Here is a 27,208-nt window from a genome sequence, read left to right as displayed (position 1 = left end):
TCAGCTCTGGCCTCTTAAGAGTACTAAGAAGATTCCCCAAGCTAACTCTGACATTGTTTGGGAAACTTGGCTCCTAAGAGCAGGCGTGGGCTGCTTGGTTCCACCCTGGGCTGGGGAGCTTTTCAACTGGTATTGTGTCCACAGGCTCCCTCAGCTGGTGTCTCCGAAAACGACAGGCTGCTCCTCATACTGTCCTGAGCGCTCAGAATTAAACTGATGGGGCCAGGGGCACACTCAGTGCCTGCGCTGGGGACTGGATCCCAGGCCCCCCTCTGTTTTCTCTTCTATCTAAGAGTGCCTTCGTGCATAGACATGACAGCATTGATGAGCTGTGGGATGGCTGCAATCCCTACTTCATAAAAAGATGTGGGTCAGTAGAGAGAGGTGGGAGGAGAGGCATAAGGCTGGTTGCAAATCTCTTTTCTGTGACCTGCCAGTATAATTGAAGCTACATTGTTAGTTACACCTCATCTATGAAATGGGTTACACCTCATCTATGAAATGGGTTAATCATTTCCTCTCCTACACGGACACACACACACACACACACACACTCACACTCATATATTCTCATGGTCACACACACACACTACTCATAAGGATGTTGTGAGAATTAAACAAGATAATGGTTATAAAACCACTTGATAAACTGCAATATGTCATAAAATTTTGAAACTATTGTTTTTGTTGTACATCATGAGCAGTATGTCCTGTGTTCCTACATCTTTTAGAGACCATTCAATACATTTGGAATCTATTACCAAATAGAAATAGTTTCCAAAACAAACATATCTATCTTCTTGTCAGTTAGAATTAGTCAAATTTTTATCATAAATAACTATTATTATATAAACCAGTTATATGGGAACTGGTGTAAAATAGCCAAGAAAGGGGGGAACTCTACTAGACATTCCAAATAAATGTGTAGTTTCTTCATGTGTGTGTGCATGGGTACTTTGTTGAGGGAATATTTTGCTCACCATTGGCCTAGAATAAATGTTTGTTAAATGAATGAAAGAAAATATACATTATATAATGACTTTCCATCAAACAGTCCCCCTCAAGTTTATCCATATTCTCAGCCATGGCAGGATTTTCCATCACACATGGTCCACATTTGAATGTTCATATTCAGAAACACGGCTGGGTGAAACTAAAGTTTACTCATTTTTGGATGGCAGAAACAAACCACAGATTGAAATAGAAGACATTGTAAGCAATGTGTCTGACATACTTGGTGACTAAGATAGAAAACAATTCCTTAGATGCCTTAAAAGTGACATTTATTTTATATATCCAACTTTTCATGAAGGCAATCACACAAATTAAGATTGTTAACACATACTCTAATGAAGGATTAAGTAGAAATTTAAATGGAAAGATGACAAAATCCAAAATAACAATTTTTGGTTGAGATCCAAGAAAGATGACTTATGAACACATTTCTTTGTTTAATGCCAGACCCAGTAAAAGTACCATCTTGGTTATCTGGCATCTGTTCCATGCCTATTGGCATTCTTAACGCACACTGTAATGATACAGTGGTTCAGCAGAGGGATGCTTACACTTTGTTGAAATCTGAATATATTAATTTTAATTGCTTTAAATTAAAACTGAAGACGAGGTAAAAAAAAAAAAAACCTGATGGTCTTAGAGTACTATATAAGCTGGTGCTAGATTTTACCTGATGTCTATACATAATGATTTCCAATTATGCAAAGCCACATTGGAATGGGACAAAATAAAAGTGGGATAGGGATAGAATCTGATATTTATTTGGTTCCTTCTTTGTGTTAGACACTTTATGTGCCATTTCATTAGCTTCATATGCACCCACGCACAGAGTTTCATGCTCCTTATTTCAGAGATGAGAAATTTTGGGCTCAGAAAATTTAATTGCATGTACTAGAACTGGTAGAGAAAAAATGGAAACTATGCCTTTCTTGGTGGTGGGGAATACCACCACCTCAGTTTGGATTGGAAGGTTGGAAGAAAGAAAAGATATCGAAGGAAAGTAGACCTGAGAACTAGGCTTGGTAAACAGACAAGGTCCCATTGGCCACCCAGCAGAGCAGAAGTATAGAGTAAAAGCACATTGGTAGGAAAAGAAAAATATTATCACAGATATCCCAAGGGCTGAGATGTGTAATATTTAGTCCATTAGTCCATTAGCCTTAAATGGAAAATAAATATTCTTTTCAAGTGAAGTAAATCTTGAGTCTCCCTCTTTATCCAACTCCATCAAACTGATTGGTGCACTGGAAATATTTCCAGAGGAACCCAGACTAGGAAATAAGTCTGGTGCATGAAGATGACGGTCTATGTAATCTAGAACCTTTCTACTCCAAGTGTGATATGCAGACCAGCAGTATCAGTACTCCCTGGGAGCTCTTTGTGATTGTGGAATCTCAGTCTCCAGCCCAGACCTGCTGAATCGAAATGTGCTTGGAAAACTCCTCAGGTGATTCGTATGCACATTAATGTTTGAGAAGCACTGATCTAGAATAAAATTTTTTAGTTTCAGCATCATCTATTCACTTTCACATACTTTTTAGATAATTATAAAGGATATTTCACTTTATTCATCCATACCATACACATAGCAAAATATTGTAGGAACAATATCTTAGATTTCACTGTTTCTCATCCTCCTAACTTTTCCTAATAAAACAAAAAGAAATGTCTCTGTATTTATTTTAGTTTTGTACATATTCTACTTGGTCTTTTCTCTTGTTCCTAAAGACTATATGATAAGTACATTAGGGCTGAAATATATAGAAGAGAGTTAAAGTCCTATCAGGGAGGGAAAATGAGAAAGTACGCTGCTAATAATGAGTATGCTGTTTACTCTTTTATTATCAACTCTAATAATTTCTTTGTCCCAGTACTTCCTGGCTTTCAATGAACAGTAAAGTACTGGAACCAAGGAATTTGTTCAATTAAGAGTGCAAAGCCTTTCATTTATCAGGCACTGGCTTAGGTTGGAGGCAACTATGCATATAACATTATATTTTCCCACAACAAAATACCAGCAAACCAAATTCATAGCATATTAAAAGGATCATACATCAGGATCAAGTGAGATTTCTCCCTGTGATGCAAGAATAATTCAACATATGCAAATCAATAAATGTGACATACCACATTAACAGGATGAGGGATAAATATTATCTGATCATCTCCATAGATGCAGAAAGAACATTTGACAAAATTAACTCCTTTCATAAGAATTCTCAACGAGATAGGTATCAAAGAAATGTTCCTCAATATACTAAAGGCATATATGACAAGCCCATAGCTAACATCATAAACAGCGAAGAAATGAAAGCTTTTCCTCTAAGATCAGAAATTCAACATAGTACAGGAGGTCCTAGCCAGAGCAATTAGGCAAGAAAAAGGAATAAAAGGGATTCAGATCACAAAAGGGAGAAGTCAAATAGTCTCTGTTCACAGATGATCTGATCTTTTATATAGAAAGCCCTAACGACTCCACAAAAAATCTGATAAACAAATTCAGTAAAGTAGCAGGATACAAAGTCAACATACAAAAGTCAGTTGTGTTTCTGTACACTAACAATGAACTATATGAAAAAGAAATTAAGAAAACAATCCCATTTACAATAGCATAAAATCAATAAAATACCTAAGAAGACATTTAATCAAGGAGGTGAAAAATCTGGACACACTGAGAACTATAAAACAGTAATGAGAGCAGTAAGATACTTGCATAAAAACAGACATATAGACCAATGAAACATAGTAGAGAACCCAGAAATAAACCCATACATATATGGACAGTTGGTCTTCAACAAGGGTGCCCAAATTACATAATGGGGAAAGGACAGTTTCTTCAATAAATGGCACTAGAAAAACTGGATATTTATATGCAGAAGAAGGAAAGTAGACCCTTACCTCACTCCACATACAAGGTCAACTAAAAGTGAATTCAAGATTTAAATGTAAGACATGAAACTGTAAAACTACTAGAAGACAACATAAAAAAAAACCTTGACATTGGTTAGGCAATGATTTTTTGATATGACCTAAAAAACATAGGCAACAAAAGTAAAAATAGTTAAATGGGATTGCATCAGACTAAAACCTTCTGCAAAGCAAAGGAAATAGTCAACAGAGTAAAGAGACAACCTAAGAAATGGGATAAAATATTAGCAAACCATAAATCTGGTAAGGAGTTAATATCCGTATATATAAGAAACTTAATTCAGTTGAGTTTACTGAGTAACTCAGTAACAATATCCCCAAATAACCCTACTTAGAAATGGGCAAAGGACTTGAACAGACATTTCTTCAAAGAAAACAAATGGCCAACAAATACATGAAAAAGCACTTGATATCACTAATCAGAGAAATGCAAATCAAAACAGCAATGAAATATGACCTCACACCTGTTAGAATGGCTACTATCAAAAAGACAAAAGATTAAGCGTTGGCAAGGGCGTGAAGAAAAGCAAACCCTTGTACACTGTTGGTGGGAATGGAAACTGGTGCAGCCATTATGGAAAACAGTATGAAGGTTGCTCAAAAAAAAAAATAGAACTAGCATAAAATCCAGCACAATCCTGCTTCCAGGTATATACACAAAGGAAATGAAATCAGTATCCTGAAGAGACATCTGCACTCCCACGTTCATGGTAGTGTTATCTACAACAGCCAAGATTTGGAAACAACCTAAGGATCTGGGTATTTTTTTTTAATATTGTAACTTTTATTTTAGGTGCAGGGGTACATGTTCAGGTTTGTAATATAGGTAAACTTGTGACTCAGTGGTTTGGTATACAGATTATTTTGTCACATGGGTACAAATCATAGTATCTGACAGTTTTTTTTTTTTCCTGAACCTCTCCCACCTCCAACCTTCTTCCCTCCAGTAGGCCCCAGTTTCCATTGTTTTCCTCCTCCTGTCCACATGTTCTCATTTTTTGGCTGCTAATTATAAGTGAGAACATGCAGTATTTGGCTTTCTGTTCCTGTGTTAGTTAGCTAAGGATAATGGCCTCTAGCACCATCCATGTTCCTGCAAAGGACTTGATCTCGTTTTTTTTGGCTGCATAGTATTCCATGATGTATATGTGCCACATTTTCTTTATCCAGTCTACCACTGATGGGCATTTAGGTTGATTCCATGTTTTTGCTGTTGTGAATAGTGCTGCAGTAAACATATGCATACATATGTCTTTATAGTAGAATGATTTATATTCCTTTGGCTATATACCCGGTAATGTGATTGTTGGGTCAAATGATAGTTCTGTAGTTAGTTCTTTGAGGAATTTCCATACTGCTTTCCACAATGGTTGAAGTAATTTATACTCTCACCAGCAGTGTATAAGCATTTCCTTTTCTCCACAACTTCACCAGCACCTGTTATTTTTTGTCTGTTATAGTAGCCATTCTGACTGGTGTGAGACGGTATCTCACTGTGGTTTTGATTTGCATTACTCTAATGGTTAGTGATATTGAGCATTTTTTTCATATGCTTGGTGGCCACATGTATGTCTTCTTTTGAAAGTTGTCTGTTCATGTCCTTTGCCCATCTGTTGATGGATGCATGGATAAAGAAAATGTGATACACACACACACACACACACACACACACACCACAGTGAAATAATATTCAGTCTTTAAAAAGAAGGAAATCCTGCAATTTGTGACAACATTGATGAGGCTGGAGGACATCATCTTAAGTGAAATAAGCCAGGCACAGAAAGACAAACATGGCACGATCTGACACACGTGGAATCCAAAAAAGTCAAACTCATAAAACAGAAGGTAGAATGGTGGTTGCCAGGGTTTGGATGGTGGAGGAAATGAGGAGCTATTGGTCAAACGGTACAAAGTTTCAGGACGAATAAATTTTGGAGGTTTAATGGACAATATGGTGATTATAATTAATAACACTGTGTTCTATATTTAAAGTTTACTGAGAGTAGACCTGAAGTATTCTCACCACACACACAAGCTGTAACTATGTGAGCTGAGAATATGTTAATTAGCTTGATTGCAGTAATCATTTTACAACATATATGTATATCAAAACATCACATTGTATACTTTATATATAATTTTTATCTGTCAAAATAAAATAAAATTCCAGAAAAAAATTATGTCTTACATGTCAGATAAGAACTTATTTTAAAATAATTTTTATGTAATAAAAAACAATGCCCCGTTAAGCTACCGAAGAGTCATCTTCACAATAGGGGCATAAACATGATTCTCATATTTTTTAATTTGTTAATTTTCCTTTAAATATTTATTTTAAGAACATTGACCTAGACCTTTTCCGTCTTTAACTACCCGATATTATATGCTTGTTTACCTAACTAGATATATGTTGATTTATACATATTTGTGCGCTGTATTGCATAGCTAAAAAAAATTGCTGCAATGTTTGAGTATTCCTATGTTTTTCCAAATCAATTTCTCAAACATTTAGAGATTAAAATTTAGCAATTGGATGCATTTGTTAATAATGACAACTGACAGTCATTGATTAGTTATGGCATGCTTCAATATGACATTCCATTTAATATCCCCAATGTCCCTCTGGAGGAGACATCATTCTTACCCGAATTACATGAAGGTACGAAATGACGTTTAGGGAGATTAACCAACTTTCAAATAGCTGCACTTTACATGGCACTATTAGCCATTGTGGTGAACTACCTTGACCTCCCCACTGTGGGAGATTTACTAGGACTTTCTAGGGATTGAAAGCAAGGACTGCCTTAGTCAAAATTACAGAGCTGAAGCTTATTTTCAGATAGTCTCCTTTATCCCTTTCTTTGATCTCCAAATGCTCTTCTTTTCCTGTGAAAACTCTTTCCCTACTTGAAAATAGAAATCTACTAGGAGTTGGTTAAAACTAGAAATTGACACATACAGAGCACACAAACTGGAATTTTACAGAATAGTGTTTACCAAATGTTAATGGGTGAGCCTCAAACAGTGTTCTCTTTTTAAATGAGTTTGGGAAGTAATAGGTTTAAAAACACAAATAACTTTCTTTACTATAGGTTTTTTTTTAAGCACTGGGACTATCTATCTATCCATTGATCTATCATATTACCTACCAACATATTTATCTACCTATGATATCTATCAATCATCTATCATCTGTCTATTCTATCAATCTATTATCTAACTCCTCTGTGTTTTTTTCTTCACATGTAAAACATTTTCCACAGTCTTATTGTTTAGAACACTGTATCAGTCTGTTCTCATGCTGCTAATAAAGACATACCCAAGACTGAGTAATTTATAAAGGAAAGAGGTTTAGTTGACTCACATTCAGCACAGCTGGGGAAGCCTCAGGAAACTTACAATTATGGCAGAAGGGGAAGCAAACATGTCCTTCTTCACATGGCAGCAGCAAGGAGCAGTACCGCGCAAAAGGGGGGAAAAGCCCCTTATAAAACCATCAGATCTTGTAAGAACTCACTCACTATCACAAGGACAGCATGAGGTTAACCACCCCCATGATTAAATTACCTCCCACTGGGTCCCTCCTATGACACGTGAAGATTATGGAAACTACAATTCAAGATGAGCGTTAGGTGGGGACCCAGCTGAACCATATCAAACACAAATTTTGGAAATGCTTTTGTAAGGGCTATTTGATTCACAATTAGATGTTTTTTAAATCCTAACTTAATGGAAGGTGTATGTCCAGGGAAATTGCTGACCCTAGAAGATAATGTAGAACAAACCAATGTTATTTATTATCAGATTTCAAATTAACAAGTTGTTTGTGAATATTCTAGGCTACTTTGCCTCAGTATATCCTGCATCCAAAGGAAGCACACATTAAATTGAAAGAACATTGAAAAGTAGTATGGGTCTTTGTAACATTTTCTCCAGGAAGTGATGAGAGATTCACAACGTTCCCCCCGCCCCGCCCCCATTCATGTGTCCTCTCTTATCGAAGTTCCACTTTCCAGGCAGCTGTTCAGCTGTTTTCTTTTCCTCTTCTGCTGCCCATTGCTGCATGCTGGGTTTGTCCTTTCATTCCCCTTCTTCTTTCTTTGGCCAAGGTCCTCCAAAAGTCCCTGGAACTGGTGGCCTCTTTTGCGTAATGGTCAATTTAGCCTTTCTTTCAGTTTCCAAATTGCCTCTCTACTCTTGGGTCCTCCAAGAGTCCCTGGAACTGGTGGCCTCTTTTGAGTAATGGTCAATTTAGCCTTTCTTTCAGTTTCCAAATTGCCTCTCTACTCTTGACTCCTGCCCCAGCATAACAAACAATCTCTTAGAGAATAAAAATTGCAAATACTTTTGATATATTTTAAATCCTTCCTATGTAAGAAAAACCTGAATTAAATGGGTGCTAACAAATGTTACAATCCTGTGAATGTCATGCATTTTTTTCAGATCTTTAAAAATTGATATACTGTATTTAATAGAAATAAGAATACTCATAGTTTATCTACTGTTAAAGCAAACTAAATATGGCCTGAGAAGGACTCTATATTTCCATATTTGAGTCCTTGTGGGCAAACCATAACCTAACTTAGTCGGTAGAAAAGACTGAAAAGCCTAACTTAGGTGTATGTGTCTATAACAATAGCTGAGTCTTGGCCAATTCCTGTAGTCATACTTCAACCACTCATACACTGCTGAGCATTCAAACTGTGTTCAAATAAGGCAAACATCAACGTGTTACCAATTCAGCTGTTTCTGTACCTCACTTCCATTTTCTGTACATCATTTTCCTTTTTCTGTTCATAAATCTTCTTCCACCTTATGGCTGTGCTGGAGTCTTCGAGCCTGCCGGATTCATGAATTGTTCATTGCTCAATTAAACTCTTTTAAATTTAATTCGGTTGAAGTTTTTCATTTATCACTACTAATCATTTTATGTATCACAGAGAAAGAAAATGCTGCCAATTTCTCCACATCCTCTCCAGCACCTGTTTTTTCCTGACTTTTTAATGATCGCCATTCTAACTGGTGTGAGATGGTATCTCATTGTGGTTTTGCTTTTACACTGTTGGTAGGACTGTAAACTAGTTCAACCATTGTGGAAGTCAGTGTGGCAATTCCTCAGGGATCTAGAACTAGAAATACCATTTGACCCAGCAATCCCATTACTGGGTATATACCCAAAGGATTATAAATCATGCTCTATAAAGACACATGCACACGTATGTTTATTGCGGCACTATTCACAATAGCAAAGACTTGGAACCAACCCAAATGTCCAACAATGATAGACTGGATTAAGAAAATGTGGCACATATACACCATGGAATACTATGCAGCCATAAAAATGATGAGTTCATGTCCTTTGTAGGGACATGGATGAAGCTGGAAACCATCATTCTCAGCAAACTATCGCAAGGACAAAAAACCACAACACCGCATGTTCTCACTCATAGGTAGGAATTGAACAATGAGAACACATGGACACAGGGAGGGGAACATCACACACCAGGGCCTGTTGTGGGGTTGGGGGAGGGGGGACGGATAGCATTTGGAGATATACCTAATGTTAAATGACGAGTTACTGGGTGCAGCACACCAACATGGCACATGTACATATGTAACTAAACTGCACGTTGTGCACATGTTCCCTAAAACTCAAAGTATAATAATAAAAAAAGAAAAAAAAAGAAAATGCTGCCAATTATATTAAATAATTGTAAGCACCACAGATTATGAAGTGTTCCAATTTTAGAGATATTGAAATATTAAAAAGTGCATCTTAGGAACAATTAAATGCAATGATACTTTAAAAAATATATTCTTTAATAACTCACATATGTTTTAGACAATTATATTTATATGAAAATTCCATAGATGATTTTATCCTTTCTAGACCAGTTTTCCTCCAATTGTGGACTATGGATTACCTGTAATAGAAATACCTGGAGCTCCTCATTAAAAATATAGATTTCTGCCCCTACTTCCCTGAAGGTTAATTGAAACGGAATTTTGTGGCAGGGTCTGGGCAGCAAGATATTTTAAGATTTTGGATGATTCTAACATGCAGCCAGAGGAGAGAACTTTTCAACAGTGGTCCCCAGGCCAATAGCAGTGGCATAACTTGGAAACTTCTTAGAATGCAGAATCTCAAGCCCCAGCTCAGATGTACTAAAGTAGAATTTGCATTTTCACAAGATTTCCAGGTGATTCATAGGTGCATGAAACTGAGAGAAGCATTGTAGACCAGGAGTTCTGAAAGTTGTGGTTTCAAGACCAGCAACGGCAGCTCCGAGAGACTTGTTAGAAATGCCAATTCTTCATCCCCAAGTCAGACCTCACCAATAAAAAATCTGGGGTTAGAGTGGTGATATGGTTTGGCTCTGTGTCCCCACCCAAATCTCATCTCAAATTATAATCCCCACATGTTGAGGGAGGGAGATGATTGGATCATGGGGGCGGTTTCCCCCATGCTGTTCTCGTGATACTGAGTTCTCATGAGATCTGATGGTTTTATAAGTGTTTGACAGATCCTCCTACATACACTCTCTCACCTGCTGCCATGTAAGATGTGCCTGCTTCCCCTCCACCATGATTGTAAGTTTCCTGAGTCCTCCCAGCCATGCAGAACTGTGAGTCAATTAAACCTCTTTCCTTTATAAATTACCAAGTCTCAGGTATTTCTTTATAGCAGTGTGAAAACGGACTAATCCAAGTGGGGTGGAGCTCAAGTTATCTACGGTTTTATAAGCCCTCCAGGTGATTCTGATGCATACTAAAGTGAGAGAACTATTGCTGTAGCGAATCAGATTCATGCAAGGCAAAGGGATTCAGCTGGTGGCAGACACCTGATTTGCAGTCATGGTGATTAAGAAGCATTAACTAGCATCTCAAAGGCTAACTAAGCTTTTAATCCCGGATATTAAAATAATAGCAGATAGAACAATTGGGAAAAGACAGGACATAATATGCTGGTGAATGTTGATCTCTCATTTTTAAGTGAGTCAGAGAGTGATAAATACATTCTAAGCCTCAGGAATCTCTTCTAGCTTTAATCTCTTACTCTAGCTTTTGTTTTGTTTTTCTGACTCTTTAGAGCCTCTGTGACAAAGCCATCATATTATGAGTTCTCTATAGTAGCTAATAAGTTCTACTTTGAAGTGCTGCCAACTTCCAACTCATTCAGGGCAAAAGAGTTGGTACTTGATATTTCTTTTCTCCACTCTTATAAATGGGAGAGACAATAAAATGAAGGCTTTGGGGAATGATTCATTCCCCAAACTTGTTATTGAGCATCTACCACAGGTTAGACGATATTGGATACTAAAAATTCAAAGATAGAATAGCAGTTATTTTCCTCAAGGAACATACAGTCTATTAGGGAGACAGACATAACAAATAAATAATTTCACTGCAATATGCTGCCTTGCATAATGGAGGCATAAAATGATCATTTATTATAACTGGCCTGACAGTGGTTTGAAGATGAGAATAACAAGAAAAGAAGACAAGTAAGAAGCTACTGGAACATTTTAACCAAGAGGCTAAATAGTGGCAAAAGCTAGAAGGGACATCTGTGTGAGCATTTTCTTTCTTTCTTTCTTAATTTTTTGTTTCTTTGGGGGTTTTTTGTGGTAAGCATCTTGTAAAGCACAATAATTTATAATCAGTGATTGATCCCATTGTACCCACTGAAAGTAAGAAGTGACTCAGGATATCCAAAATAAGTTTCTAAACATTCTCTGACTTTGGGAGGTTTCTGAAAGTCATGTTTTTAACTATGCAATAAGTGTCTGATGCTTCTCAACATGCCCTTTTTATTATCTCCAGCATTCCATGACTATACTGTTTATGCTAGTATTATGCTTAATTAAGCACCACGACAATACCAATAAGAGTCTGAAAGCAAGACGTGGCACAGATCATCCAAAAATGTAGCTATCCTGGCAAGCTGAGGATAAACCTTGCAAAAAAAAAAAAGCTGCTTCCCAGAAGTTGTTTTCTCTTTAATTAAGATTCAAACGTAAAAGGTTGTATTCCAAGGATAAATGAACATAGTGATCAAGATTATGTTAGTAGTCTCAAGCATTTAGAAATACAATACCAGGGTTACTGTTTTTCCACACCAATAATGGTATGCAGCTTCGTATAATTGGGAAGGGTACCTTTATGCTTTATGAACAGACCATAGGAAAGAGGGCCTCCTAGAAGCATGATTTTCTCCAGGGATCCTTTTCTAACCCTCTCAGCCTGAGATGGTTCCTTCCCAACTTCCCACGTTCTTTTAGAACTCTTCATACCTTTCAGTCATAGCAATCATCTCTCTAAATTGTAGTTACTGATTTATTGTCCCCCACCAATAAAAACCAGAAGGGTATTTGGGATATGTTTCCTTACATGACCATCAATCTTCTTAGCCATTCATTCACTCATTCATTCAAACCATATGTCAAGGTGTTTTGGACACTGGGGGTATAGAATTGGGAAAGACAGACAAACTCAGCTGATAAGGAACTAAAGACCTAGTGAAAGGAGAGAGATAGTTCAACACATAAGCAGGTAAATAAACAAATGACTGCAGAGAGTGGTAAATGCTACACAATTAACAAAAAAAAAGGCAATGGGGTAGAAAGAAATGGGGTAGGGGAGGGATCCTTTGGCGGGAGTGTTCAGAGCAGGGCTTCCTGAGATGGTGACTTTTGAGCTGAGACCTGTCATCATGAGAAGATCTAGGAAAAAGAGCACTCCAGGCAGAAGGAACTGGAAATGCACAGGCCCTGAGACTTCCTGTGCTTGGAAATCTTGAGAAATGGAAAGAAAGCTTACTCAGAACACAGCTGTAGGCGTGAGTTGGGGAGAAGAGTGGTAGATGAGGGTGGAGAGGTGGACAGACTCTAGAACATGCTGGCTGGGCCTTACTTGTAGATTATATTAAGAACAGAAGATTTTGTTCTAAATTAATAAAAAAAAAAATCTGCTCCAGACATCAGCCTGCTGACAACCACCTGTGCTGGTGGGTTGTTGGCAGGCTGATGTCTGGATCAGATTTACAATTTAAAAAGAACACTCTGACCATTATATGGAGCACAAAAGAAGGTATACTATTTAGGAGGTAGCTGCTGATGTCCGTGGAAGGATGGCTTGGACCAGGGCTGAGCAGTGTGGGTGGCAAGAAGCGTGTTCAGATTTGGAGGTTTTGCCAATGGGACCTGCTGATGAAGTAAGCTGTGAAGGAACAGAGTATGACTCTCAGGCTTTGGCTTTAAGCAAGTGGCTAGATGGTGGTGCCATTTTCTGAGACTATATGAGGAACAGATTGGGAAGGGGGATATCAAATCAAGTGTTCGGTTTGGACACGTTGAGTTTGAGAGGCCTATTAAACGTCCACACCTAGTGAAAGGGTTTACTAACCCAGAGCAAATCAAAAGGTGGAGGTTCCCCTTAATATTTTTCTACCGCTGTGAAAAAGCAGTTAGAATCTTGGCCCTTGGAGGGAGAATGACCTGAGTTTGTACCCCAGTTTTCCTACATAACCATTTTGGATAACTGTTCTGTTTGAGCCTTAGTTTCCGTATCTGGCAAATATATCTATATCATGGGATTATTGTGAAGATTAAATCAGATCATGGATGTGGTATATTTATAGAGTACCTGGACCACACTGAGTGCTGAAAAATGATACCACAAACTGACGGCTATAATGGTGGTGATGAGGCAGTGCTTAAGGTGACAAGTGCAGAGGGAGGTTTCACTGCCAAGAAGAAAAAGCTGTGTCCACTGCACTGAGTACTGTATCAGGAGGGACAGGAAGTCGATTTCTTACTAAGCAAGGCCTTTCTTCTCAGGCTTTAAGCTTCTAGTGCTTCAGGTATTACAAGGGCCAAGCCTATTGACCAGCCACCATACTACAATAGATTCATCCGCCTCGGCCTCCCAAAGTGCTGGGATTACAGGTGTGAACCACCATGCCCGGCCTGGCACTGATAAAAAATGCTGTAACTCAGTCAGGCCTGGCACTGATAATTCTTATAAACAAAAATGCTGTAACTCAGTCATCTACAGTAGTCTCGAGGCAATAGAATTATTCAGAACATTAACTTCTCTTCAGGTTTAAAATCTACAGAGAAAGCTTTAAGATTCTTTGGCTTAGTAGTCTACTCAATAAGCAGTTGTGGAAGGCTGATGTTCATAGCATGAAATTTACCTTCAAGAATCTTGCATTCTGCCGATAAAACCAGATTTCTAAAGAATGCTAAAAATTGTCAACAGACAAGGAGAATACAGAGAACTGAGTGGCTTGACTTCTATAGTTTTACAAATTCTCGATCTGTGAAAAGTAACACATTTTGGGAGTCAACTGGAATTTAAATGAAGTCAGGGATTGCAATTAAAATTTTTTCCTTAGATATACTTAAAAACTTCTAATTGAATGGTTGATAAGTTACGTAAATATTAAGCTAACCTAAGAATTGTGAATGGAAGAAAACTTTTCCAGTTTCAGGTATGTAATGAGTCAACTATCAAAGCAGATAAATTTGATTGATAACTTGGACATAGTGCTTACGTTTAGGGGAAAAAAGTTATCTTAGTTTTAAAATGGATCCAGCTAGAATCTTCTACTTACAGTTCACAGAATCACACATAGAGTAAATAGATGAATGAACTGGTAAGTTTTAGAGCATGTGGTGCAGAATAAATGAAGCAGAAGGAAAAGAGGGAAGAAACTCTGGAAAGCTTCTGGGAGAAAGGAGAACTGAATGGTAAAGAAGGCAACGGTGGTTAGGATGAAATGCAAAGAAAATTCATGGACTGCAAGGTTTTAAAAGCTCTCTATGTTTTTTCTTTAGATGAGAACCCTGCCATTATTTTCAAAGAAGAGAGCCAAAGAAATAAGCTCCAGAGAATAAAAATCAAGATTACAAAACCAAGTCAGGCATAGAGCCTAAATAAATGCTTCACAAGGCATAGATTTATATTCACCTCTTTGTTATTCCCTAAAATGTGATTTGAGAATAAATGTGGATAGGAGAAAACTTTTCCAGTTTTAGGGATGTTGGAGGATAAGAACTGATCAATATTCAGGAATTAACCAAGAGTGTCAATCCAGGACAAAAATGAATGTGAACAGCTGTGTTTCCCAATTTGACTTCAGGACATTGGATCTTTAGTATTTCCATAATATGACTATAAAAAAATGTCCCTCTAGCCTTATTGCTTTCCTTAATGGATAATGCTTTTGGCTTGGATCTTTGTGTGGAAAAAAGGATCTTTTGTCTCATAAAATGTTACAGATGCTTCTATGGTAACACATTTTAATTTTATTCCTATCTCAGAAGATAAACATGGAAAAGTGCAATTGGCAATTTAATCTAATATTTAGCATTAGCTTTAAGTCCACAGAGCATTTTGGTTTTTGTTTTAAAGGAACATTGGCACTTTTGTTAACCTGCTGTACTCAATTAAGCAAAATCCTGAAGGCGTGTCTAAAAGGTATTACTTTGCCAACTTAAAAATACCATGTGGCCAAGTTTTAAAACCCGTAAGGGAAAGAAAGCATGCCACTTCTAGGACAAAATTCTTAGGTGGCCAGAATGGGTTTGTATTTATGGGAATTTTCTTCTGGGCTAAAAACAAAAACCAAACATTTCAGCATTTACAAAGACAGTATCTATTTGGTTTGAAATAAAATCCGCCCGTTAAATAGACAGACAATTATTGAATGGTTGTTCTAGTAGTAAGCCCCGCAACATATTGCAGTAAAACTTTTGACAGTAAAGTAAGTTGTTTACTTTGTACTCGGTAAATAACCAAGGTTATTGCATTCGGAGGCTGTAATTTGAAGCCCGGTTCCCTGTTGAATTACAACGATATACATTTACACGGTAGATAAAGGCTTCCATACTTGCCAGCATCATAAAGCAAGGCAAAAAGCACAAGAAGGGAAGAGACAGGAAACGTGGTCAATATTGCTTGGCAGGAATTAAAATCCTGTGACGTTTCTTCTAGAATTGCAAAGAGACACAAGCCCCTGATTGTATTTTTCAAAAGCCATCAGTCCCACTTCACAATTTTTATTATTTTCTAGGCAGCAGAAGAGTTAATGAAGGGTGTGGTCAATTTATACAAAGTTTCAGTTACAAACCTGCGGGGGTCAAGTCTGATGTAGATTCACCATATGCCGCACTAACCAGTTCCAGAGCACATTTGGCCTGCATCTCAGACAAGAATCCTGATTCATTCATTACATGATTAGAGAACGTGCAGCCTGCTTAATTTTAGTTATCTTAGAGATCTTTTTAGAATAATAAAAATCATCACCGTTACTGATTCATACACTGACATTTAGAAATTTCCATAATGAGTGTACTAACACTACAGCCCTTTTGAAATACCACAACATATGCAAGTTGCTAGTAATTAAACTGAAGTGCCTACCTAAGTTGTTCTTGAAGCAAACTTCAGCCCTTTGTAATATTTTCCCTTCATAAAAGTCCCCAAGTATTTACAGTCTGTAGATGAGATCATTCTCTTGAAATGGTAGGATTAAATGAGAAGGCGAATGAGAGTCAAAGAGAGGTTGTTCACACTAACACTACTCGTATTGAAAAGATTCCACGGCACTATCTCAGTTCTCATTGGTCACTTGGCGGGCTGGAACAATATTTGCTCCAGTTGCTATGTAGAGGGGAGTGGCTGCCAGTTCACTTCACTAATGAGCCTGAACCTGTCCTCTGCAGATAAGAGTAGCTATTGTTTGAGTTAATGTGCTTGCTGATAAGATGCTCACCAAGGCAGGTAAAGGAGATATTTTTCTTTTGTAAACATCTGTAGAGCTGCTACAGATATTTCTCTGTCACTGTCCGAATTTTAACAGCTGTTGCAAAAAGTAAACCAGACCAGGAGATAATTTCTTTCCTTTCTTTCTTTTTTTTAAATTAGTCTTTCCTTCTTCAGGAAGGCACATCTATCTAAAAGATCACACTTAAATGTTTTCCTAAAAAGGACACTATCCTTAAAATATAGAACAACTCACACACCCCAACTCTGAAAACCAATTACAATATATTTAAAGCATTCCATGGTACTATTTTATAGATATATAATACATTTGTAGAATACATATATTATATATAATATGCATATATAAATATTTACATATAAAATATACATATATACCTACATACACACATATATTTGTGGAAGTTATTTTAGGAAAAATTTCCCAAATTTCAAATGAAGTAGTTTGGATTTGCAGGTACCTTATACATACACAAACCCCATCACTAAAGTGTGTGTGAGCATACATAATGCACACATAAGTATGAAAGTTTGAATAATACAGGACTAATGTAAAGCACATGTCAATTTAGGCAGGGTTTAAAAAAATTTAAAGACAGATGTTTTTCTTTTTGCATTTAGAGAAATACCCTATTTTTTTCAATTTATACTCACCATATGCATTTTTGTGGGATTGTGTGAAGGAAAGACTTCAAATCCTGAATTGAACTTCATATAATGAACAGAGGTACATGAAAACAAGAATATTCAATATGCCTTTAATGACCAATTTTTAGTGTACCCAATACCATGAGAAAAATGGAATAAATTGCTTAACAAGTAGGATGCTTTTCAGTGTTCTGCTATAGAATTTCTAAAAATGATCAATTATGATGGAAATTATCTATGTACCTCTAATTTTCTCTTTATCACTAGGTCGATAAAGCCTAATGATTTTTTTGCTATATATTTATTGGTTACTAATAGAAATAAAAACTAATAAACTAATATATTCATAAAACCAAAAGGGCCCATGTTGCTTTAAACTCTGGCCTAGAATAGTAAGAAATTTCAGCTTTTATTTAGAGTATTTTTAAAAACTAAAATGAAAAATATTTGTAGATAATTGAAAAGAATCTCAATAGATAATCCAATGGAAAAGTTTGATTTTTTAAAATCACTTCTTTTTTAAAAAACTTTATAGATTTAGGGGATACAAATGTAGTTTTATTATATGGACATATTATGTAGTGGTACAGTCTTGGCTTTTAGTATACCCATCACCCAAATAGCGTACATTGTACCCGATAGGTAATTTTTCATCCCCCCTCCCATCCTCCCACCTTTTGGAGTCTCCATTGTATATTATTCCATTCACTATGTCCATGTGTACAGATTGTTTAGCTCCCACTTATAAGTGAGAACATGTAGCATTTGACTTTGTGTTTCTGAGTCATTTCACTTAGGATAATGGCCTCCAGTTTCATTCTTTTTTATGGCTGAGTAGTATTCCATGGTGTACATGTGTGTATATTATATATATTATATATAATGTATAATATATATATCTACATACACACACACACACACACACACACACCACATTTTCTTTATCCAATCAACCATTGATGGACATTGGACACTTAGGTTGATTCCACAATTTTGCTTTCCATTTGCTTTGTGGTTTTAATTTATATTTCTCTGATGATTAGTAATGTTGAGCATTTTTTCATATGTTTTTTGGCCATTTGTGTGTCTTCTGTTGAAAAATGTCTGTTGATTCCTTTGTCTACTTCTTCATAGAGTTGTTTATTTCTTATTGAGTTGTTTGAGTTTCTTGTAGATTCCAATTATTAGTCGTTTGTCAGATGCCTAGTCTGCTAATATTTTCTCCCATTCTGTAGGTTGTCTGTTTACTCTGTTGACTGCTTCTTTTGCTGTGCAGAAGCTTTTTAGTTAAACTAAATCTTATTTGTCTATTTTTGTTTTTATAAAAATAATTTTTTAACTCAAACATGTGAGAACCACATGATGCTACTAAAATTTGGCTACTTACAAAATGGAGCTACAGAGACAACTCACTGTTCAAGTAAGGTAATAAATGCTCATAGCTAGAAAAAGTGCTGCAGAATGTGGTTCCAGTTGTTTTTCTGTGTTGCCTCCTCAATTAAGACAACATGTTTCCTGAGGAAGTTTTGAAAGAACAATCTGGTGTATCTCTGGCTTCACTGCATTTGCTGATCTCTGTTGGGCCTGACCAATCCACACTATCCAGAAACACCTCATCATGTGTTCATGAAAAACACACAAATAAATGAGCCCAATGTTTATATTAATATGCAGATTTCTTCTGCTTAGCACTTTATTTTAATAGCTGGTTAAAACTAAGAGTATAGGAAAATAATGAGATGGTAATCCTCACGCCACTGTAGAAAGAAGCATGCTAACAACAATATGTTTATTGAACAGAACATGTTTGTATCTTCATGGACTCTTCATGGACTCAAGAATCAGTACAATTTCCATGACATAAATATGTGGAGATAGCTGAGCATGGTGGCTTATCCCTGTAATCCCAGCATTTTCAGAGGCTGGGGTAGGAGGAACTCATAGGACTAGGAGTTTGAGACCAGCCTGGGCAGCATAGGGAGACCCCGTCTCGACAAAAATATAAAAAATTAGCCGGGCTTGGTGGCTCATGCCTGTAGCTCCAGCTACTTAGGAGGCTGAGGTAGGAGGATTGATTGACCCTGGGAGATCAAGGTTGTAGTGAGCTGTGATCGACCATTGCATTCCAGCCTGGGTGATACTGTGAGACTCTGTCTCAAAATTAAAAATAAATAAATAAATTAGTGGAATTGATTAGTATAGATAAATGTCTCCCTGTGAAAAACTGAAAGAATTGTATTCTTTAAAACAAGGTCTAAATCTAGAAAAGAAGGTAAGCTGAGTTTGGTGTTTCTAAAAATAGATTACTTTCTAATAACTGATACCTTAGCACTCCTGAAGAATATTTTCTGTGGGATGATGGCCAAAGAGATTGGCTAAGTGCTAAGAGACTATATTATTTATCCTATGTTATCTCTGACCTGTTTTGCACTATTATAACCAATAGTATCCAGAATTCAGTCACAGGACAGGTCAAAAGTTCTAAGAGTATTTTAAGGAAGAAAAAAAAATCCACACCATTATATAACACAAAACACACTAATTCTGCAACAGCCACTAGCATTATTTGGCTAGATTTAGAAGTCAAAATTTTCTCAAGGCTATAAAATTTCATGGAGCATTAAAAAAATATGACAAGGAATCAGCTTTTCAATTATGACAGCTTTACCTTTCAATTCAATACAGATTCTTTTTTATGAGCTCTTCTTTTTCATGAAGTGGGGTGATGGTGACAATGTAAAGTATATTATTCACTAATAAACTAGTAATACCATGAAGCAGAATTGAGCTTCTAGGAGTGGTCTTCTCGGAGTGTAAATCTGCACCTGTGTTTTCCTGCTGGAGGACCTCCTGGCTTTCCCTTGACCTCCAGATGACATTAGACCTGGCCACCTGACCTCCCCAGTCTCCTCATGTGCCTCTCTCTGGAGCTCCTCTGGCTTAAGTCAAGCTGGATAGGTTTTAGCTGAATGAATGCACCGTGTTCTTTCTTACCTCCAGGTTTGGTTTTCTTGGTCTGGAACACCTTCCTTCCTGACTTATCTCTAAGCCTCCTGCAGAGGTGTTGCATCTCCCCCAGCTCTGTGCTGCACTCATCACATGTGTAATTACTTGTGCCGAGAGCATGGAATGGTCTCTAAATATCCCCTTGTATCCCCAGAGGCTACTGAAACATCTAGCCTATAATAAACATTCAATGAATATTTGTTTAATGAATGTAAGTTTGAACAGGAATAGTTGCTTTTGTTGGTGGCATTGGTCAGAAAAAAAAAAGTGAAAGACTAAAGCTTCTTTTCCTTCTATTGTTTGAGATAGGGTCTCATTTTCCTCCCAGGATCACTGCTGCCTTGACCTCCTGGGTTCAATCCATCTGCTGCCTCAGCCTCCTGAGTAGCTGGGACTACAGGCATGTGCCACCATGCCCAGCGAATTTTTTTTTTTTTTTTTTTTGGTAGAGATGGGGTTTCACCATGTTGCTCAGGCTGGTCTCCTAGGCTCAAGCAACCTGCCTGCCTTGGCCTCCCAAAGTGCTGGGATTACGGGCATGAGCCACTGCACCCAGCCAAGTTTTCTTAAGGGTAATATAATGTTAAATTTAAGAAAGTATGTGGTCCCCTTATGGGAGCAAATATGAGGGTGGATCTGCTTTTGATCAATGTAGAGACCTATGACTTAATCTATAGTGATTTTCTCTAAAAACATAAATATATAAACTTGAAATGAATAATTACATTAATGTCCTTGAGATCCCAGAGAAATTCATTTTGTGCATATATAATAGTACATGTAATTTATATAGGCTGTTATTTTATTACCATAGGTTTAGCCCCCAAATGTTTAAATCCTCCATGGATTTCTGTCATTAGTCTCAGTCAAGAATTTTAATAGGCATTATATAATCCCTCCTCGACCATATATAGAAAACATCTTGTTTAGTCTATCCACAATTTTAGATTATTTCATCTTTTCTAGTAAGACCTTGAAGAGCAATGCATTTCATTTGTATTTCTATCTGTGCCTAACAGTGTTATGTCATAGACACTGAACAGATCCTTGCTAAGTAGACAAAGAAATAAATGTAATATGCAGTTATATGTTTATAGAAAAAATTGTGAAGAGATGAAATGCTAACGTCATGGTAGGTTGAAGGAGAATAGGTCACCTCACTTGAGACACTGGTTATGTTGGAGTCTACGTGACCTTATCTAACCTCACCTCGCCTCTAAGAAGCACTGGCTTTATTAACATTTGAACAAAAGACCTAGAAATGTTAATTCAGGTATCTCAGTAACTGTTGAGTGAATTCCCTGTGAGTCACATTTGGATACTATGAACTATGATAATGTCATAGTAAAGGACAGCTAGGCTCAGAATAAAACTCTCATCTTCTCATCCTAATGAAGCCCAGAGAGATTTTCTTCCATGTGGACAGACAATGGAGACTGGGAAGGGTGAAGGCTGGGAGAAGGGTGATGAAGGCAGACTACTTAATGGGTACGAGGTGTATTATCTGAGTGATGGATACCCTAAAAGCTCTGACTTAAACACTACAAAATCTATGCATGTCACAAAATTACACTTGTACCCCATAAATTCATATGAATAAGTTTTTATTAAAAATGTTTTTCTTCCACAGAACTAGAGTTGCTTCACAATTCTTGGTCATTAGTAGAACACAGACAGACAATCAATGCCTTGAGAAAGAGATTTATATAATGGAGAACTACCTGTTCTTGGAAAATCTTAGCTTGTAACTCACATCACATCAAGCAAAAGTTTTTTATAATGCATTATATATATAAATAGGGAACATTACCACTTTTTCATATGACTTTAACTGATAATGAACAGTTTGACCTTGCTAAAATGTCACACTTGAAAATCTACATTCATTTAAAAGACAAATTAAAATTACTAACAAAAGAAAAGGCTGAAGAGGAAAATTGGCAAATAGTTTTATATGTAATATTTTTGGGGTTTCTTGATGTGCTCAGTTTTACTGAGATTTGACTTTAATCATGGAGATGGAGTGATGTAATAGAAAGATATCTGACTGACAGCATGATGTTTCTGGTTATGGTCTATGTGTCTTTAAATGATAGAGAACCTCAAGGCTCTGCCTAAGTCTCATTTCCTAGCAGAAAAGACATGCCTTTAACTGCCTTATGTAAGCCACTTCTGATCCCTTTCCCCCGAGCTCCAGATTCTTACGTACAACTGCTCTGAGATCACTAGTCAGATGCCTAATAGGTATCTCCAACTTAACATGTCTAAAACAGAAGCTTGACACCAACTGTCTTCTCAACCACCTGCCTGTGAAACCTGCCCACCCACCAGTTGTTCCCATTTCAGCTAACAGATCCACTATCCACTCACTTGCTCAGGCCCCAAATCATTATTTATTCTTCTGTCCGCCACTCCCCACAAACAATCTTCCAGGAAGTTCTTCCAGCTCTCTCTCTAAAAATATACCGCAAATCCAACTTCTTTTCACCATCTCCACTTCTATTTTCCGTTTGGATTCACTCATCTCTTGCCTTTCACATACCCTTCTATATAGTCCATTCTCTACACAAACGATGGAGCTGCAGGCATCTTCTGAAAACAAAACTTAGATCACTCTTCTCTCTTAGAATCATCTAATGGCTTCCCATTGCAATTAGAATGAGGGCCAACCTCCTTTCCACGGCCTAGAGTCCCCACACGGCTCCATTCTTTTCAGGGTCACCTCCTGGACCCTCCATGTTCAGCCACACTGGCCTCCTTCCCTCTCTTCAAACATGCCTGTCTCATTCCCATTTCAGTGCCTTTCTCTACTGGTTTTCTTTTCCAGCAACACTTTCCTCTCAGCTGAACTATTTCTTTCTCAGGGAGATCTCCCCTGACCACACCACCTAAAGTAATCCTGTAGTCCTGGTTACTTTCCAGCCTGCATCTTTATCTTTTTCAAGAACTTAACACCATTTAAAATTACATTACTTACTTATTTGTTTATGTATTTGCTATCTTTTTCCTCTTGCCAGCACATAAACTTGAAGGCAGAAACCTAATCTGTCTTGTTCATAGCGATATCTCCAGTGCTTAGAACACAGACTTACTCCTGAACTTCTTTAATGATGGATGAATGAATGAATCTCAGGCTGTACTTACCTCCTCTGTGCCTTTGTTTGCTACTTTAAACACTGGTAGGTTTAGAAATAATATATGTAAATCACCTAGTACAGTGCCAGAAATATAAAAGGCACAGAACAGATATTCGGTGACTGTAGAAATGATGTTCTTCCTATGACTCATGGCACATACTGGAAGGTAATTTGATAGAGTGAAAAGAGGCTTAGAATTAGAAGTACGGTGTCTGCATTCCTTTTTTTTTTTTATCCTTGTGACCTTTGAGCCAATCTTTCCACTTCTCTGAGTTTTAAGTTCATCACCTGTAGATAATAATCCAGCTGTTATGAGAATAAATATTTAGGCAATGTCTGTAAAAGTGCCTTGTAAAGTGTAAAGTGCTGAGCAAATACATGTAATTTAAATATTATTATCATATGGAAATATCTGTTGATTAGTGGAGGGAAAAGTCACGGTAGCTCTTTTTTTTCCCACGGACATTCCTCCTGAAATAATTAAGTTTATATATGTTGAAGTCTCAATACTGGCCTCATTTCAGATGAACTACTTCCCCCGAATATCAATGGATGGGAACCACTCTACTTCAAGTAAAGCTAAGCTTTGGAAATCCTCTTTAAAGGGTTAGAAAAATAATAAGAGAAGTTTGAATAATCTGTGAGTTATATGCATGAATGAAGATTAAGAAAAATAAGTTAAGAAAAAAGCGTATGAATATGTTTTGAATATATTTTTTCTAACTTGAAAAGGATTTTTGAAAGTTGGTCATCTGGGGCTGGGCACAGAGGTGCAGACCTGTAGTCCCAGAGCTTTGGGAGGCCAAGGCAGGTGGATCACTTTAGGCCAGGAGTTCACGATCAGCCAAGTCAATATAGCAAGACCCCTATTTCCAAAAAAAAATTTAAAAATTAGCTGAGCACAATGGTCCATTCTCTGTAGTAGCCTGTAGTCCCAGCTACTTGGGAGGCTGAGGTAAGAGGATCGTTTAACCCTAGAACGTGGAGGCTACAGTGAGCTGTGATTGTGGCACTGCACTCTAGCCTGGGCGATAGAGTGAGGCCCTGTTTCAAAAAGAGAGAGAGAAAAAAAAAGAAAATTGGTCGTCTGCTTATTAGCCCTTATTAGGTAGTGTATCTGTCTATAGCAACTTTGGGAAAGGAAGGGGTCTTGGTGGTGATTTGGGCTTCACTGACTTATCCTTGACTGCATCCAGGGAGGCCTCAGAGCACAGAACCCAACAGAACTGGGTTGATATAGGGCTGCTCATGTCTCACTGTCATCATCTTGGCTCCAGGGCATAATAACAGGCACTGAAATGCCTCCCTCTTGACTGCAGATGTGTTTTCCTACTTTTCCACTGACAGTGCTTCCTCTATTATTGCAGGCAACTCTGCTTTTCAAAGCAAATAAATCATAACCAACAGCTTAGTTATGCTAGAGTACTTGTGTGTATGTATGCACTTTAAAAATAGAATAAAATATTTGCCCATATCCAGAGTGGGCATTCAACTGGTAGGTCAGCTTTCTGTGAATATGGATATAAGGGTTAAAGCTTCCTAAAGACAGGGTTAGACCTGCCTTCCACAAAACTAATAGGTTTGGTGCTTATGACAGTACCTGGCACTTACTAGGAACTCAAATGTTGGTTGAATACATGTCTGACTGGGTTAATGAGCTTCTTCTCTGATCTCCTGACAGCTTGATACAGAAACCGGTACTATGGGGACAGAGACTGCTTGGGAAAGTGCTATGAATCACTTAAATCATTTTAGGATCATTTAATTCATTTGGATTACTAAGAGTAATTTCTTGATACTCATACTCTTCGTCTTCCAATTTAAATGAAACTTTTAAGAGAAAGTTTCAAAAGAAATCTGTCTGGTTCAAATTATGTGTGAACCTGATACTAGGAACTGCTGAGTAGTTTCAGATTACACTGTCAACATTGTGCACAGTTCTAGTGCTTTCCAGCGTCTGCCTTGTTTCCAGCTGCAGTGTTACTGGACAAGAAGAACTTCATTCTTAAAGGATTCAGTAAGGTGATGGGTGTCACTGTGAAAAGCAAGCAACTGGCCTTGCAGAATGAGACAGTTTTCTTGTTTGAGAGGTCATGTACTTCACTTAGGGTACCTGAACTATTTTATTGAACAACAAGCTAGAAATCTAATTATGGGTCTTCAGAAAGAACATTCTACAACCCATTTCAGCTCATGTCTGTCATGAAGTTGCTGCATTGATCATTACACCCCTTTATACTCTACCTGACAGCATATATTGAGGGTACCTTGAATTACTTCTAGGAAATATACATTGAAATTTGTAAGATGCTATTTGAATTTCATATGAACTCAAATATTATTTTTAAAAGCGCCAGGTAAAATTCACTGGTTTATATACTGCTTGCTTGCATGCTCTCTCTCTCTCTCTTTCTCTTTTTTTTTCTCTCTCTCTTTCTTTCTTTTTGAGACCCGGTTTCACTCTGTTGCCCAGGCTAGAGTGCAGTGGTGTGATCACAGCTCACTGCAAGCTCAACTTCCCTGGGTAGCCGGTACTACAGGCAGGTGCCTGTAGTAGCTAGGCACACTACCATATCTGGCTAATTTTTGTATTTTTTGTAGAGATGGGGTTTCGCCATGTTGCCCAGGCCTGTCTCGACCTCCTGGGCTCAAGCAATCCACCCACCTCGGCCTCTCAAAGTGCTGAGATTATAGGTGTGAGCCACCACACCCAGCCTATGTATTGCTTTCTTGATAAGACTCAAAAGTTCTCTGCAAATGGCTCTGATATTATCACTATAATAATGTTCTTTTACTTGAAATGTGCATATTTAAACATGTTATCTTAAAATTTTTCAGCTATGTTTGAATTTTGATATAATTCCATTTCTAGTGATTAAAATTCAGTGTCAAGGTGGGGGCATAGTTTACTCGTTCATGAGCAAATAGTTTCTGTATCATTTATCAGAAGGGTTGGGTCAATATCTCATGCTCTGTACCTTTAATGATCCTTCTTTTCAGCAAAACTGACCTGATCTTCTCTATTTGTGTATAGTCTTGCTGTGGCGTTGGCTGGCTAACTTGTTAAACTAATTAGAGTTTTCAGAGGCTAAACAGTCAACATGAAGTGACTGAAGAATCTTAAGGCAGATACATCGGGGGAAATACAGTGTAAAAATCTTGTTATGGCTAAAAATCCAGAGTTCCATTTACACTTTACTATGTTTTTCCAGAGAAAATATTTCTGCTTCTGTTAAGTCATTTGTAATTCAGGGTGAGTTAAAAGGGGGAGATTTCATGTTGGAACTAAAAGAAACTATATTAGGGTAAATCAAATCATATGGATAATCTATTCATTCCAACCTAGTCCTGTAATAACCTCTCAGTCTGTGATTTCAATTGCTATGTGGAAAGTTACATTATAATTTGAACCTTGTCATTTTATAAACAGAGAAAAAAGACACACCTAGGTCATGTTTTACAATAAATGGCAAATCATTATTGCTTCCTTTGGTATTTCCTTTGTAATGTTGATTATGATGAACTCCTGGCACCATGACAATAAATGGCATTCCAAAGAAATTCCATTTTCACTTATGTAACAGGATGTTAGAATGGGGCTCCTCTGGTCTCTGCTTCAATGGAAGCACAAGCATGGTGGTGGATAATGGGTACCCACGTGTATCTGAGACAGATCCATATAT

The 27,208-nt window shown here is 37.3% G+C and overlaps 1 protein-coding gene and 1 long non-coding RNA gene across 13 annotated transcripts in view, besides 1 other annotated feature; one reads left to right on the top strand and one right to left on the bottom strand.

Moving 5' to 3' along the window:
* PALLD (palladin, cytoskeletal associated protein) overlaps positions 1-27,208 on the bottom strand; it is a 431,390-nt gene that overhangs the window by 342,586 nt on the left and 61,596 nt on the right. The window lies entirely within an intron of this gene.
* The window catches only part of LOC124900807 (uncharacterized), an 84,414-nt gene that overhangs the window by 30,759 nt on the left and 26,447 nt on the right, over positions 1-27,208 (top strand). The window lies entirely within an intron of this gene.
* Positions 20,416-20,585: an enhancer, noted in NCBI's record as "experimental_76192 CRE fragment used in MPRA reporter constructs". NCBI's record gives its function as "activates a minimal promoter by MPRAs in K562 erythroleukemia cells, with activity observed for both the introgressed and non-introgressed 4:169486507 variant alleles {active_cell/tissue: K562}" and the evidence as "EXISTENCE:reporter gene assay evidence [ECO:0000049][PMID:34662402]".

This window comes from Homo sapiens, chromosome 4 (assembly GCF_000001405.40).
Source record: "Homo sapiens chromosome 4, GRCh38.p14 Primary Assembly".
NCBI lineage: Eukaryota > Metazoa > Chordata > Mammalia > Primates > Hominidae > Homo > Homo sapiens.
The sequence above is the reverse complement of the archived record's forward strand: the minus strand, read 5'-3'. Positions and strand labels throughout refer to the sequence as shown.